The sequence below is a fragment of the Homo sapiens genome, chromosome 5, assembly GCF_000001405.40.
Source record: "Homo sapiens chromosome 5, GRCh38.p14 Primary Assembly".
NCBI classification, from domain to species: domain Eukaryota; kingdom Metazoa; phylum Chordata; class Mammalia; order Primates; family Hominidae; genus Homo; species Homo sapiens.
In genome coordinates this window covers 123,040,711-123,057,940 of record NC_000005.10, presented here as the reverse complement: position 1 = coordinate 123,057,940, position 17,230 = coordinate 123,040,711, and the positions used below count along the sequence as shown (strand labels likewise).

Below are 17,230 nucleotides of genomic sequence, written 5' to 3'. Positions count from 1 at the left end.
TGTCTGTTTATTCTGGTGATTATTTCTTTTGCTGTGCAGAAGTTTTTTAGTTTAATTAGGTCCCATTTATTTATTTTTGTGTTTGTTGCATTTGTTTTTGGGGTCTTAGTCATGAGTTCTTTGCTTAGGCCAATGTCTACAAATTTTTTCCAATGTTGTCTTCTAGGGTTTTTATAGTTTCAGCTCTTATTTCAGTCTTTGATCCATCTTGAGTTGATTTTTGTGTAAGGCAAGAGATACGGATTCAGTTTCATTCTTCTATATGTGACTTGCCAGTTTTCCCAGCACTATTTATTAAACAGGGTGTCCATTCCCTAATGTGTATTTTTGTATGCTTTGTGGAAGATCAGTTGGCTGTACATATTTGGTTTTATTTCTGGGTTCTCCACTCTGTTCCATTGGTCTACATGACTACTTTAATACCAGTACCATGCTGGTATAACTTCGGTAACTACAGCCTTGTAGTAGAATTTGAAGTCCAGCAACATGATGCCTCCAGATTTGCTCTTTTTGCTTAGGATTGCTTTGGCTATATGGGCTCTTTTTTGGTTCCATATGAATTTTAGGGTTGTTTTTTCTAATTCCATGAAAATGTTGATATTTTGATGGTAATTTCATTGAATATGTAGACTGCTTTGGGTAGTGTGGTCATTTTCACAACATTGAATCTTTCAATCCATGAACATGGGATGCGTTTCCATTTGTTTGTGTCATCTATGATTTCTTTCAGTGATGTTTTATAATTCTCCCTGTAGAGATATTTCACCTCTTTGGTTAAGTATATTCCTAAGTATTTTATTTTATTTTATTGCAGCTGTTGTAAAAGGGATTTAGTTTTTATTTTGATTCTCAGCTTGGTCGTTGGTGAATAGCAGTGCTGCTGATTTGTACACATCAATTTTGTAACCTGAGACTTTATCAAACTCATTTATCAAATCTAAGAGTCTTTTTTGAGGAGTCTTTAGGATTTTATAGTTATATAATCATATCATCTGCAAACAGTGGTAGTTTGACTTCCTCTTTTCCAATTTGGATGCCCTTTATTTCTTTCTCTTGCCTAATTACTCTGGCTAGGACTTCCAGAACTATGTTGAATAGGAGGGGTGAAAGTGGGTATTCTTGTCTTGTTCCTGTTCTCAGGGGGAATACTTTCGACTTTTTCCCATTCAGTATGACGTTGGCTGTGGGTTTATCATATGTGGCTTCTACTATTTTGAGGTAGGCCCCTTCTATGCTTAGTTTGTTGAGAGTTTTTATCTAAAGGGATGCTGATTTTTTTTTTCAAATGCGTTTTCTGCATCTATTGAGGTGATCATATGGTTTTTTGTTTTTAATTCTGTTTATGTGATAGATCACATTTATTGACTTGCATATATTAAACTATCCTTGCATCCCTGTGATGAAACTCGATCATGATGAATTCTCTTTGATGTGCTGTTGGATTCAGTTAGCTAGTATTTTGATGAGGATTTTTGCATCTGTGTTCATCAGGAAAATTGGTCTGTAGTTTTCCTTTTTTGTTGTGTCCTTTCCTGACTTTGGTATCAGGGTGATACTAGCTTTATTGAATGATTTAAGGAGGATTTCCTCTCTCTCAATCCTTTGGAATAGTTTCAGTAGGATTGGTACCAATTCTTCTTTGAAAGTCCAGTACAATTCAGCTGTGATTCCATCTGGTCCTGGGCTTTCTTTTGTTGGCAATTTTAAAATTACTAATTCAATCTCACTGCTTGTTGTTGGTCTGTTCAAGGTTTCTAATTCTTCCTGATTTAATCTAGGAGGGTTGTATGTCCCTAGGAATTTATCAATTTCCTCTACGTTTTCTAGTTTGTGTGCATAAAGTTGTCATAGTAGTCTTAAATGATCTTTTGTATTTCTATGGTGTTGGTTGTAATGTTTCCAGTTTCATTTCTAATTTAACTTAGTTGGATCTTCTTTCCTCTTTTCTTGGTTAATCTAGCTAGTGGTCTATAGATTTTGTTATTTTTTTTTTCCAAAGAACCAGCAAGTGGTATTTTGCAACTGCATCTTCCCTTGCCCCAAAAGGCTTGGTCCCCTCTAAAAACTCCCAAATCTACCTGTCAATCAAAGAAAGGCCCCACAATTCTCCTGGACAGGGTTTGTCCCATCAGAAGCAATAATCTAACTTTGGTTTGCTTTTGCATCTTTCTATTGGCTCTACTTTATCTTACGTATAAGATAAACTATGGCAATACTTGGAATTAAAATATTTTTATGACATGTTGGCTGACTGAGACAAATTAACTCTGACTCATTTTACATTTTAAACCAAAATATCTGATATTTGAGTAGGAGATACCATTTTCTCATACCACAGGGGCAAAGGTCACCAATTAAATGTTAAGACATGTCCTCATGTCCTATATATATGAGAACATGTACACCTGTGGGTGGTTGGGGCTAGGGGTCTTCACAAAGGGTTTCTGACTTGGCCAAATACTGTTCATGGAACTCAATTTAGACCTGGTGTCCTGGCTTTTCTTCTCAAACCAACTTGATCTTGATCTCCAAATGTAGATTCCCTTGTTCATTCTGCTGAGGCCTGAAGTCCCTGTGGGTTGATTTTGTTGCTGGCTTAGCCTATCCCTGACTCAATATTTGATCATTGAACCAGGTTTTTTGTTTGTTTGTTTGTTTTTGCGATGGAGTCTTGTTCTGTTGCCAGGCTGGAGTGCAGTGGCATGATCTCAGCTCACTGCAACCTCCACCTCCTGGGTTCAAGTGATTGTCCTGCCACAGCTTCCCAGGTAGCTGGGATTACAGGGACTTGCCACCATGCCCGGCTGATTTTTTTGTATTTTTAATAGAGACAGGGTTTCACCATGTTAGCCAGGATGGTCTTGATCTCCTGACCTCGTGGTCTGCCTGCCTCGGCCTCACAAAGTGCTGGGATTACAGGTGTGAGCCACCGCACCCAGCCAAACCAGGTTTTATGGGCTCACTCCTATTCTCTCCATCATGACCTCTGCTTTTCCACTGTTACATTGGAGCCTACAGGTGAAATTGGAATCAAAGGGAAACCTTGAGATTACTCATATGGAAGTCAGGGTGCTACTGTATTCCAATGTGCTTCATTTGTAGGGACCACTCCTATGGTTGGGGGTGCAGTATCATCCTGTATTTGTCAGGATTTTTGACTGTAGACAGCCGAATCCATGTTATCTAGTTGAAGCAGAGAATAATTCATTAAACAGTAGTAGGTACCTTGTAAGAATTTCTGGAAAGACAAGAGAACTGGCCTTTGGAATCCAAAATCCCCAGAGCAGCTGTCCCAGGAAATCCAGGTGTCTTGTTCTCTGCACTTGCAAGATCTGATCTCTCTCTCTGCAGAGCTATCATTCACATTTAGCATCTCTGCCTCCTAGTCTCAAGCAATATGTCTTCTTGGTGATAGCTAGGTCACATGCAGAAACTAGCTACAAGGTAGTCTTGGAGAATGTAGTTGTAGCATTCCAGCCTGCATAGTATAAGAAGGAAAATTGAAATGAAATTAGAAAAGGTGCTAAAATCTAAATGAAATTAGAAAGGCAATTTACAGTATCTGCCAAACCCTAAAGGGAATGGGAATTCCCCATATTACACATCTGGGATGAAGGAGCTCCCACCCTTGGGCCTGGACTCTAAAAATTTAGACAAGAGGGTGTCCCTAGGTAAAGGAGGAAGAACAGTGTCTGGCCCAAGGAGGCAGGCTGCAGTTAGATAAGGAGCCAGTGCAGCAGAAAATCCCATTACAATGGATTGGTACCTGGGGGCTCCTAAAATAGCCACATCTAGAAGTCACACATATGACTCTTTGTGGCAGTGGAGTGCAATTGTTAATAGCACAGACTCTGAAGCCAGACTGCTGGGTTCGAATCCTAGTTCCTCTCTTTACTGGTTTTGTGACCTTGGGTTTTCTATATGTGTGTATGATATATTTTTTATATATTACATTATAATATAATGATATATAATGGTTACTATAGTATATAATGATATATATGTTAATTGAAGTGTCAATTTGAGTGAGCCATGGGATATCCAGAGTAAACATTTTTTCAGGGTGGATCTGTGAGGGTGTTGCAGATGACAGCAGCATTTGAATTGGTGAACTTAGTAAAGATGATTGCCCTTCCCAGTGTGGGTGGGTGTCACCCCATCTGTTGAGGGCCTGAAGAAAATAAAACGTGGAGTAAGGAGGAAGTTACCCCTTTTTCCTACCTCACTACTTGAGCTAGAACATGTCATCTCTTGCCCTCAGACTGGGACTTATGTCATTGTCTCCCTGTCTTCAGACTTGGACTTAATTATACCACCTGCTTTCCTGAGTTTCCAGCTTACAGATGGTAGGTTGTGGAAATTCTCAGTCTCCATAATCATGTGAGCCAATTCCTCATAATCTCTCTCCCTCTCTCTTTCTCTACACACACACACACACACACACACACACACACACACACACACACACACACTCTCCCCTCCCATTGGTTCTGTTTCTCTGGAGAACACGAATATAGTACCATGTGTGTGTGTTTATGTGAGTGCATGTGTATGTGTGTGTGTATTTTCTCCTTTCACTTACTCCCAAGTCTTTGGTAGGTCCAACTTCACCTGGAGCTGGGTCTATATCCATGCCAGGGTGGTGATGGTGATGAGAAGAAAGGGAGAAGTAGCACTCCGCATATGAGATTCTCCTTCCTCTACTAACCTTCGAAGTTCAGAGTGTTCTCTTATTAGGCAGGCAAATAACATTCATTACAGAGAGAATTTCTCTGCATGAGGAACAATGCAAGAATGCAGAGGAATTGTAAAAGGTTCCCTTAATGAAATAAGCTCTTGTAATATAATTACAGGTTAAAAGATTATGACAGGCTGTGTCAGCTATCTATTACTATGTAACAAATCACCCCAAAACTTAGTGTCTTAAAACAGCAACAGTTTATCATTTCTCATACTTCTGTGAGTTGGCCGGGCAATTTCTCTGCTGGTTTAGCCTGTGCTTTCTTAAGTAGCTCCATGCAGTTGGATGATTATCTGGCTGGAGGGCTCAGATAGCCTCATTCACATGTCTGGCAGTTGGTGCTGGCTGGAGTGCCTCGATATTTCTCCAGGTGGCTTTCCAGTCTCCTGTAGACTAGATTAGCTTCCTCACTTAGCAGTTCTGAGCAGTGTTCCAAGAGGTGAAAGCAGCACTTTCGAGGCTACTTGATACCTAGGCTCAGGAACTCAAACAACCTCACTTCTATCACATTCTATTGATCAAAGCAAACAAAGTCAGCCAAAATTCAAGGGGCTGGAGAAATGGACACCACCTCTGGATGGGATGTGAAGCAAAGACATATTATAAAGAGGAGTGCATAACTGGAATTGGGAGGTAAGGGAGGTGATTTGGGGTCATTAAACAATCTACCACATGGGTAAATTCAGAGCTAATACAGTTAAACATTCAGTGACTGCTATGGTCTGAATGTGTACCCCCAAAATTCATATATTGAAACTTAATCACCAATGTGATAATATTAAGAGATGGGGCCTTTAAGAGGTGATAAGTCATGAGGGCAGCCCTCTCTTGAGTAGGATCAATGACCTTATAAAAGAGGTGCAGGGAGTACTGACCTTATAAAAGAGGTGCAGGGAGTACAAGAGGAAGATGGACTTAAGGTGGAGAGTTTTATAGTTTTTTTGTTTCTTTTCCTTGGGATCAAATTTGTCATCTATTTAATATAACTTGTTATAAGATATTTTTTGTAAGCCTCATGGTAACCGCAAATAAAAACCTATAATAGATACACTGAAAATAAAAGGCAAGAAATGAAAACACACTACCAGGAAAATCACCTAACCACAAGGGAAGAAAGGAGGAAAGGAGTTACAAATCAGCCAAAATACAAGTAACAAAATGGCAGTAGTAAATGCTTACCTAACAATAATAGCACTTAATGTAAATAAATACATTTCTCCAATCAAAAGACATAGAGTGGCTGAATGGATAAAGAAGCAAGACCTAACTATATGCTGCCTACAAGAAACTTACTTCACCTATAAAGACACACATAGATTGAAAATGAAGGGATGGAAAAAGATATTCCATGAAAATGGAAACCAAAAAAGAGCAGGAGTGGCTAAACTCATAGCAGATAAAGTAGACTTCAAGTCAAAAACCATAAAAAGAGGCAAAGAAGGTCACTATATAATGATATATGGGTCAATTCAGTAAGTGAGCATAACAATTCTATACACACACACATACACACACATACAATACTGGAACATCCAAATACATAAGGCAAATATTAATAGAGCTAAAGGGAGAGATAGACTGTAATACAATAATAGTAGGGGACTTCAACATCTCACTTTTAGTAATGAACAGATCATCCAGACAGAAAATTAGCAAAGAAACATCAGAGTTAAACTACACTCTAAACCAAATGGACCTAAGTGATGTTTACAGAACATTTCATCCAAGTGCTGCAGAATGTACAAACTTCTCATGAGCACATCGAACATTCTCCAGGATAGATCAAATGTTAGGCCACAAAACAAGTCTCAACAAATTCAAAAAACTTGAGATCATATCATGAATCTCTTTTGACCACAATGGAAAAAAACTGGAAATCAGTAACAAGAGAAACTTTGGAAGCTATAAAAACACATGGAAATTAAACAACGTGCTCCTGAACAATCAATGGGTCAATGAAGAAATTAAGAAGGAAATTAAAAAATTTGTTGAAACAAATGAAATGGAAACAACATACCAAAACCTATAGGATACAGCAAAAGCATCTCTAAGAGGGAAGTTTTTATCAATAAATGCCTAGTAGAAAGTAGAAAGGCTCAAATAAACAACCTAATAATGCATCTTAAAGAACTAGAAAAGCAAGAACAAACCAAATCCAAAAGTTGGTTTTTTGAAAAGATAAAATTGACAAACATTTAACTAGACTTAAAAAAAAGAAAAAAAAGAGAAGACCCAAATAAAATCAGAAATTAAAAAGGAGAAATTACAACTGATATACAGAAATACAAAGAATTCTAGAGACTATTATGAACAACTATATGCCAACAAGTTGGAAAACCTAGAAGAAATGGATAAATTCCTGGACATATATGACCTACCAAGACTGAATTGTGAAGGAATGGAAAACCTGAACAGACCAATAACGAATAACAACAGAAGCAGTAATAAATAGTCTCCTATCAAAGAGAAGCCCAATACCTGATAGCTTCATGGCTGAATTCCACCAAATATTTAAATAACTAATATCAATTCTGCTTAAGCTATTCCAAAGAATTGAATAGCAGAGAATACTTCCAAACTCATTCTATAAGGCCAGCATTATCCTGATACCAAACCAGACAAAGACATAACAAAAAAAGAAAACTAGGGCCAATATTCCTCATGAACAGAGATGGAAAAACGCTCGACCAGATACTAGCAAGCCAAATTCAACAAGACATTTAAAAGATCATTCACTGTGATCAAGTGGGATTCATCCCAGGGATGCAACAATGGTTCAACATATGTAAATCAATAAATGTAATACAGTTACAGAATCAAGGACAAAACCATATGATCATTTCATTAGATGCAGAAAAAGCATTCAATACAAGTCAACATTACTTCATGATAAAAATTCTCTACAAACTGGGTATGGAAGCAACATACCTCAAAACAATGAAGGCCATTACTGAAAAACTCTCAGCTAACAGCACACTGAATGGGGAAAAAGCAAAAGCCCTTCCTAGGCAAGCATGCCTACTTTCACCACTTTTATTCAACATAGTGCTATAAGTCCTAGACAGAGCAATTAGGCAAGAGAAATAAAGGGCATCCAAATTGGAAAAGAAAAATTCAAATTATCTTTGTCTGCAGATGACATGATCTTATATTTAGAAATATCTAAAGACTCCACTCAGTAAGTTTTAGAGCTGATAAAGAAATTCAGGCCAGGCACAGTGGCTCATGACTGTAATCCCAGCACTTTGGGAGGCCAAGGTAGGGGGATCACTTGAGATCAGTAGTTCCAGACCAGCCTGGCCAACATGGGGAAACCCCATCTCTACTAAAAATACAAAAATTAGCTGGGCGTGGTGGTGGGTGCCTATAATCCCAGCTTCTCTGGAGAACTGCTTGAACCTGGGAGGTGGAGGTTGCAGTGAGCCAAGGTCTCACTACTGCACTCCAGCCTGGGTGACAGAGTAAGACTCTATCAATCCCAGCTTCTCTGGAAGCTGAGGCAGGAGAATCGCTTGAACCCAGGAGGTGGAGGTTGCAGTTAACTAATACTGTGCCACTGCACTCCAACCTGGGTGGCAGAGACTCTGTCTCAAAAAAACAACAAAAAAAAAGAGATTGAGTAAAGTTTAAGGATACAAAATCAACATACAAAAATCAGTAGCATTTATGTACACCAACAGTGTATATAAGTCAAAAGAAAGCAATGAAGAAAGCAACCGCACTTACAATAGCTACAAAAAATACCTATGAATAAATTAAATCAAAGAAGTGAAAGATATCTGTAATGAAAACTATAAAATACTGATGAAAAAATTGAAAAGAACACAATAAAATGGAAAGATATTCCATGCTCATGAGTTGGAAGAATTAATATTGTTAAAATGTCTATACTACCTAAAGCAATCTACACATTCAATGCAATCCATATCAAAATATCAATGACATTCTTCACAGAAATAGAAAAAAAATTCTGAAATTCATATAGAACCACAAAAGACCTCAAATAGCCAGAGCAATCACAAGCAAAGAGAACAAAGCTGGAGGCATCACACTACCTGACTTCAAAATATACTACCATAGTAATTGTGATGGTTAATATTAAGTGTCAACTTGATTGAAGGATGCAAAGTATTGTTCCTGTGTGTGTCTGTAAGGGTGTTGCCAAAGGAGATTAATATTTGAGTCAGTGGACTGGGAGAGGCCGACCCACCCTCAATCTGAGTGGGCACCATCTAATCAACAGCCAGCGTGGCTAGAATAAAGCAGACTTGCTGAGTCTTCCAGGCTTCATCTTCCTCCTGTGCTGGATGCTTCCTGCCCCCAAATATCAGACTCCAACTTCTTCAGCTTTTAGACTCTTGGACTTATACCAGTGATTTGTCAGGGACTCTCCCACCTTTGGCCACAGACTGAAGGTTGCACTGTCAGCTTCCCTTCTTTTGAGGTTTTGGGACTTGGACTGGGCCACTACTGGCTTCCTTGCTCCTCATCTTGCAGACAGCTTATCATGAGACTTTACTTTGTGATTGTGTGAGTAAATTCTCCTTAATAAACTCCCTTTCATATATACATATATCCTATTAGTTATATCCCTCTAGAGAACCCTAATACAGTAATCAAACAGCATGGTTCTGGCATAAAAGCAGATATATAGACCGACAGAACAGAATAGAGAGCCCAGAAATAAATTTACACATTAACAGCCAACTGATTTTTGACAAAGATCATACGTTAGGGAAAGAACAGGTTATTTAATAAATGGTGCTGGGAAACTGGAAAACCATATGCAGAAGAATGACACTAGATCCTTATCTCTCACCTTCTACAAAAATCAAATCAAAATGGATTAAAGACTTAAATGTAAGACCCCAAACCATAAAACTATAGAAGAAAACATTGGAGAAATGCTTTAGGACATTAGCCTGGGCAAAGATGTTTTGGATAAGACCTCAAAAACACAGGAAACAAAAGCAAAAATAGACAGATGGGATCACATCAAGCTAAAAAGCTTCTGTACATCAAAGGACATAACAAAGTGAAGAGACAATCTATAGAATGAGAGAAAATATTTGCAAACTATCCATTCAACAAGGGATTAATAACCTGAATATTTAAGGAAACCAAACAACTGAATGGCAAAAAACAAACCCAAGTAATCTAATTTTAAAATGGGCAACAGATTTGAACAGACATTTCTCAAAAGAAAATATACAAATGACCAACAAGCATATGAAAAAATGCTCAGCATCACTAGTCATCAGGGCTATGCAAATCAAAACCACAATGATATATAATCTCACCCCAGTTAAAATGGCCATTACCAAAAGGAAAATAACAGCTGCTGGTGAGGATGCAGAGAGAAGGGAATGCTCATACATTCCTGGTGGGAATATAAACTACTACAGCCTCTACGGAAAATAGAATGGAGATTCCTCAAAAAACTGAAAACATAGCTACCATATGATCCAGCAATCCCACTGCTGGGTGTATATCATCCAAAAGAAAGGAAATCAGTATATCAAATAGATATTTGCACTCCCGTATTTATTATAGCACTATTCATAATAGCAAAGATGGAAAAACCTTAGTGTTCATCAATGGACAAATGGTTAAAAATGTGTATATATACACAATAGAATATTATTCAGCCATAAAAAGAATGAAATCCTGTCATTTGCAGCCACATAGATGGAACTTAAGGACATTGTTAATTGAAATAAGCTGGGCACAGAAAGACAAGTATCATCGCATGTTCTGACTCATATGCATGAGCTAAAAAAATTGATCTCATAATAGTTGTACATATTTATAGGGTATATACATACATTGTGTAATGATCAAATCAGAGTAATTGGGATACCCATCACCTGAAATATTTGTCATTTCTTTGTATTGGGAACATTCCAAATCTCTTCTAGCTATTTTGAAATATACAATAAATTACTGTCAATTACAGTCACACTGTTCTCTTGGACATTAGGACTTACTCCTTCTATCTAACTGTATGTTCGTACTCATTAACCGACCCCTTTCCATCTCCCCCTACCCACCTCCCACCCTTCCCAGCCTCTGGTAATCACCATTCTATACATTAATTCCATGAGATCAATTTTACACTGCTACTTTAGAATTCAGTTCAGAAAAATTGAAAAACTATTTCTGCAATAGTTTTAGTTGAAGGCAGGAATGTTTAGTACCCTCTTGGTGACAGAAGTAATAACTTCCTTCTTTTTTCTAAACTGTGGCTTAAAACTCATAACAAAATATCACCTTTATAAAGCTCTTTCCAGCCCCAAGGGTCTAGAATTCCAGGGTTTCTGTCAAGCCTGAAGGGACAGTAGGGCTTTATTGGGTTCTGTTACTGAAAATCTTAGTTTTTGAGTTCCTCTGGCATGTTTCCTCATTGAATGGAAAACGTAGAGGCTTTTCAGAATCATTCAAATGGACTTATGATGTGCCCTTGGTAGAAAGGGAGGTTGAAATCCTCCTTTGCTATTTAAAAACTTTCATTTGGGCTTATGCTTGAAAACAGGCTGACTTTGGCCCACCACTGCTGGGCAGTTCTCTGCAGGCAGCTGGAGGCAGCAGAGGCACCTGCGTAGAGAAGTGGAGAAGCGGCCCGGTACCCCTTCAGATGCCCAGGGAGGGAGGACTGCTGCCTAGTGACAGAGCCAGCTCTGTGTTGAGTTATTTCACTTCCCTGGACCTCAGCATTCTTATCTGTTAAGTGAGAGGCACTGGACTAACGTTCTTCCTGTTCTGATATCCTTAGAAGGAGGGTGGATGGGGCATCACTGCCACATTCCTCCCTGGGCCTGGCTGGCTGCAGCAGCTGACCAGTGCAAAGCAGGGCAGAGAAGACACCCCATGGTTTACCAGGGGCTGGTGTTGCCTGAGAGCAGGTGGGGGACATAGGTGAGTGGATCTCCATACCCTTCTCCACCAAGGCTGGGATTCTTTTCACTTCTCCCTGCTACATTTTCAAATTCAATTTTTAGTTCCTGCCCATGAAAACTACTGTTTGGTGTTTATAAGATTTGGAAATCTTTTCTTTTGAACAATTTTGTTGTTGCAGGAGAGATACTTAAAATTTTTTCAATTCTGTAAATTTTCTTACATTTTTCAAAAGACTGTTTTAATTTTCATTTAATTTGTTAATTAAAAATATTTTTTCAGAGGGCCTCAGTATTTTATCTAGGCTGGTCTCAAACTCCTGGCCTCAAACATTTCTCCCACCTCAGCCTCCATCATCCCTGGGATTATAGGTGTGTGCCACCACACCTGGCTCAAAAACATGTTTTAGGCTGGGTGTGGTGGCTCATGTCTGTAATCCCAGCCCTTTGGAAAATCAAGTTGAGAGGATCATTTGAGGCCAGGAGTTCAAGACCAGCCTAGTCAACAGAGTAAGACCCCTGTCTCTACAATTAAAAAAAAAAAACAGTATTTACTTTGGGGGATTGGGACTTTGAAAATTTTCTCCCTTTAGTTTCCTGAATTTTAACATTTTTATTTATTTATAAAAAGTTACATACAGGAAAAATAAATGTGATCAAAAATATTTGTTATGATCATCCCATACCTTGAGCTACGTCTTTAAGGAGCAATTAAGAATTTTGTTTTCACTCCTAAAATAACACATTAGCTTGTGTGTATAGATTGATGTGAAAGGAGTGGCTTGCAGTTCATCTTATATTTGACTCTAATTTTATGGCCATGGATTAGCCCTGTGATAGTGAATACAGGCTAGATTTACAATACCAGTGTCTTTTCTCTCCCAGGAAAGCATATTAAACTGCCACTCTAGTGCCCGGGCGACCTCAACCTGAAAGCTCAGTAGCCTTTAGATCTACCCTCAAATATGAAAAAATAAACAGCAAGCAACAACAAAACACAGAACAAGAAGAGAAGGAATGTTTTGTTGCAATTTCAAATATGTACTATCAGCTTGCTTTCTTTGAGCCATGTTCTTGACCAGAAATCCTAGGAGTGACTAACTTATCAGTTGATGGAGGAAAGATATTCAAGGAGAAATCCACACAGACACTGTTAGTCAGTGGCCAGCGCCGAACACACAAAATGATAAGAATGTCAATGTTTAAAAGGACTGGGACTTTTTGAAACAGAGAAGTGTATGGACTTTGTCAATGTGATGTTTTAACGAGGAGATAGATGCCACCATTTTGCTTTGCCAAACGTTTTTCTTTTCTAGGGGCAGGGATATTTGTTTCTGAGGATACTAATTATACCTCAAGTTGCAGTCAAGAAAAATTTTTTCCTAGAATACTGTTGCTATCACAACTGGGCTCAGAATTGGATATTTTTGTAAAACAATAATACTGGAAGTATTTTACTATCACATAAAAATATTAATAATTCGAGCTTTCCTAAACTTCCAACTTGTAAAGAAAAATCATTCAGATAATTTAACAAATGACATAGGAGTGTTCAAAGTGAAATTTCTCTCCTCTACAATAGTAGGGTTTTCTCAACACAATAAGTCATTACCAATATAAAAGAATCAATTTGTATTTTACCTTTTAAGTTAAACATAATATATAGCATGATTCAGTCCCAGAAACGTGTTCTGATGTAGATAAATCTGCTCATAGTAACTTCACAAATGTTCCTTTGACTTTCAATTTATTATTTCAACTGTCTCTGGTGAGGGCATTTCATATGCTTATAAATCTCTTCAGTTTCTTTTTGTGTTTTAGTGCTTCATGTTAATGGACTCCGTAACTGTTACATAAAACACATCTATCAGCAAAGGTTTAGGAACAAACATTTATATCAAGACTGTTTAAAAGTTGGCAGCCTTGGTGAATAGTAAATAACAGTGAATAGGACAGAACATAAATACACAGATCAATTTAATAACAGATTGTCTCCAAAGAATTAGAATCAGGGTTGCCTGAACTGTCAAGGAAGACACATCTAGCTCTCAGATCAATGCAGCATGAAGTAGGAATCATCAGGGTTTTACAGCATGAGATTTTTGTTCTTTTGCATAATTAAATTTTCCTTAATTTTTGGAATATAATCAATGTGTAATCAATCTCCTATTTCACCAGTTGCAAGAGCCATATTTACTCGCTCTCTAATTCTCGTCACTTCCTAATTATCATGCTCCAGTGCAACCGTGCTTCCATGTTCTCTAAATTAACCATTTTTGACCAGTTAAGTTAGATATTTGCGAAATCTCCATCACACCTGAACTTCACAGATGCAGACACATTGAGGTTTTCGATGAACTTCAACTCCTCAGTTTTATCAGTTTCCAACAATACCTCCCTCTCAGGATTATAGAGGATATTGTATACAAGATGCCTTGCTTAGTATTTCCCTTCTGCAATCTTTCTCCGTGGGCTGAACCCGTTCCTTTACATAGTTTTTAAACCCTTCTCATGTACACATCCTACCTTTGAAATTCCTTGAGGGCATCTTCGGTTTTGTACCCCAGTGCCCAGCCTGGGTAAGTATCAATGCTGCTGCTTCTCTTCTGGCTGATTGCTGAAGGAGCTCAGGGAGGGTGAGAACAGAGTATCTTAATGATACCTGTCATTAACAGTGCTAGTTGGTTTTGTCCAGGTTGGCAAATAAAAGCAAGATTCGTTTTTAATCCCTTAAAGATTTTGTCACTGAAAGTTTGGCAGGGGCAGGTAGTAAAGGAGCAGAACATTTGCCTAAATGATTAGCTCCAGAAAAAGATGCTAGGCACATTAAAGACAAGAACAGTATGAGAGCCCCAGTAACTTCAGCCCTGATCTCGGGTTCTAGCTAGGAGACCCTAGTGCCTCCTGGATGATCTCAGGTCACTGTACATTTCCCTCATTCTGACATTTAAAGGAAATTTCCCAAGCAGAATTCATCATTCAAATAAATAGCTAGTAATTAACAAGGGTTTAGGCATTTACTTGCTAAAAGTGAATGTAATTTAACAAAGGCATTTGTGCCAGTTCCGTCTTAGTTTGAGAGGAAGGTAATATTTGACTTAACTAAGATGTTATTTACATAAATGAGGGAAGAAATTGATATAGCGGACAAAAAATAAATAAAGAGTTTTATAAAAGACATTGACATGCAGCTTTGAGAGCCACATTTATTTTACAAGTAGCAGAAATCTAAAACTTGCTTCTAATAAGCTAGGGGGAAAACACTAAATGTGACAAAACTGTACCCTTTGGTACTCATAAATGATTAATAAATGAAACACAAACAGTCTGTGATGGATCAAAACTACAACAAAAGAAGCAAGCTACAAAAATGTTATGCTGCCATTGTTTATTTTAGTATTACAAAAGATAACTGCTAGCAGATTAGCTAATCTTCTTATAATTCATCCATGTACTGTTTGGATTTCATGTCATGGTCTTACATTTTATTTATAATTTTAATTGTACAGTTTTACAGTATATTACTTCAAATGTCTTGTGCATGTAAAAGACAGTATAGAGAAATATGCATAAATGAAAGTAATTGGGCCAGGCGCAGTGGCTCACGCCTGTAATCCCACACTTTGGGAGGCTGAAGCGGGTGAATCACCTGAGGTCAGACATTCAAGATCAGCCTGGCCAACATGGCGAAACCCCGTCTCTACTAAAAATACAAAAATTAGCCCAGTGTGGTGGGAGGCACCTGTAATCGCAGCTACTTGGGAGGCTGAGTCAGGAGAATCACTTGAACCTGGGAGGCAGAGATTGAAGTGAGCTGAGATCTGCCACTGCACTCCAGGCCTCCAGGCATGGGGTGACAGAGTGAGACTCCGTCTCCAAAAAAAAAAAAAAAAAAAAAAAAGAAAAGAAAGTAATTGTACGAGGGTAGTGAGATTGATTATAATTGACTTTTCAAGAGTTAATGACTGGGAATTTTCTAAACTTGGTAAAGAGTCAGAAATCCTGAGTCCCAAGTAGGATAAGTAAAAAGAAATCTACATTTAAGCAAATTCTAATAAAACTGCTTTAAAATCAAAATATAGAGAGATAAATGTTAAAATCATTCAGATTTTAAAAAACAAATCACTTTCAAAGGAGCAACAATTAGACTAATAGTGGATTTTCCAACAGAAATAATGGAAGCTAGAAGTCAAAGGAAGTAACATATTGATACTACAGAAATAAAATAGTTTTATACTGGGCAAAAATATCCTTCAGGAATAAAGTCAAGTAAAGACATTTTCAGGCAAATAAAAATAAAATAATTTGTTGCCAGCAGACTAGCAGTTAAGGAAATACCAAATGTACTTCTTCAGGCAGAAAGAAAATGGCCACATAAAGTCTGAAATGCAAGAAGTAATGAAGAGCAATGAAAATGTAAATATGTGGATATATCTAAGTGTATATAACTTTATTAAACAATAATAATTGTGTCATGGGGTAAAATAAAATACATGACAACAAAGGCATACAATTCTTAAGAAGGGAAAAGGAGGTAAGTGTCCTGAGCTTTTTGCATTACCCAGAGAGTAAAGGTGACAAGTAATGGTAGGCTTTAAGGAATCAAGAATATATACTGTAATCTCTAGTATAACTACTGAAAGAATAATAAAAGAACATATAATGGACCAATCCAGTAGACGGAGAATTAATATCAGACTTTAAGGCAAAACACATTATTAGAAATAAAGAATGATACTACATAATGATAAGATAATTTAATTAATCAAAAGATAATTTTAGATGTGTTTGCATTCAATAGGGTCTCAAAAATATATAAAGAAACATATAAAGAAAAAATTTACAGACCTACAAGGAGAAATAAACAAACTAGAGTCAATGATGAAATTGATTTTTAACACACTTCTCTCAGTAACTCTTATAACAAGCAGATAAAAGTAAGGATAGAGATATGAATTGATCTAATGAACACATATGTAGAATACTATATCTAACGAGGGCAGAATCAAATAAATTGTTCAGATCCTATGTGATAATGCAAGTCTCTACATATTTTAAAAGAATGAAATAATACAGAATATGTTCTCTGACCACAATACAACTAAGTTAGAAATCACTAACAAAAGGATTTTTTAAAAATCATGTTTGGAAATAAAGTACTATACCTTTATATAACACATGGGTCAAAAAAGAAATAAAAATATAAGTTAGAAATTATTTTCAAAGAATAATGAAAATATGACATATCAAAACGTTCAAGAAGTGCAAGGGGAACTTTATCATTTTAACTGTATACAGAGTACTATATAAAAAAAGGAAGGGCTTTAAAAATTGATGAGTTAAGAGTCTATCCAAGAAGACAGAAAAATAACAGTAAATTAAACTCAAAGAAAGCAGAGAGAAGGAAATAATAAAGTTAGAACATAAATTAATAAGATAAAATATATTGGATTCATCAGCTTCCTTGGTGAAACTGTTCAAGGAAAACAAGAAAAGAAACAACCAATGTCAGGAATGAAAAAGAAGACATTACTACAGGTCCCGCAGACCTACAAAATCATTAAAAAATGTTTTAAACAACTTTATAAAACAATAT

General features: G+C 37.2%; 1 long non-coding RNA gene across 2 annotated transcripts in view; it reads right to left on the bottom strand.

The window, feature by feature from the left end:
* Positions 1 to 1,170: 1,170 nt before the first annotated feature.
* The window catches only part of PPIC-AS1 (PPIC antisense RNA 1), a 20,849-nt gene continuing 4,789 nt past the window's right edge, over positions 1,171 to 17,230 (bottom strand). The window contains exons 1-2 of one of the 2 annotated variants that reach the window (XR_001742869.2): positions 4,583 to 5,973; positions 1,171 to 3,478 (exon numbers count right to left, since the gene is read on the bottom strand). This is a non-coding gene — a long non-coding RNA (PPIC antisense RNA 1). Of the gene's footprint in view, positions 3,479 to 4,582; positions 5,974 to 17,230 lie in introns of those variants that run through there. The other variant, XR_001742868.2, reaches the window with a different exon arrangement.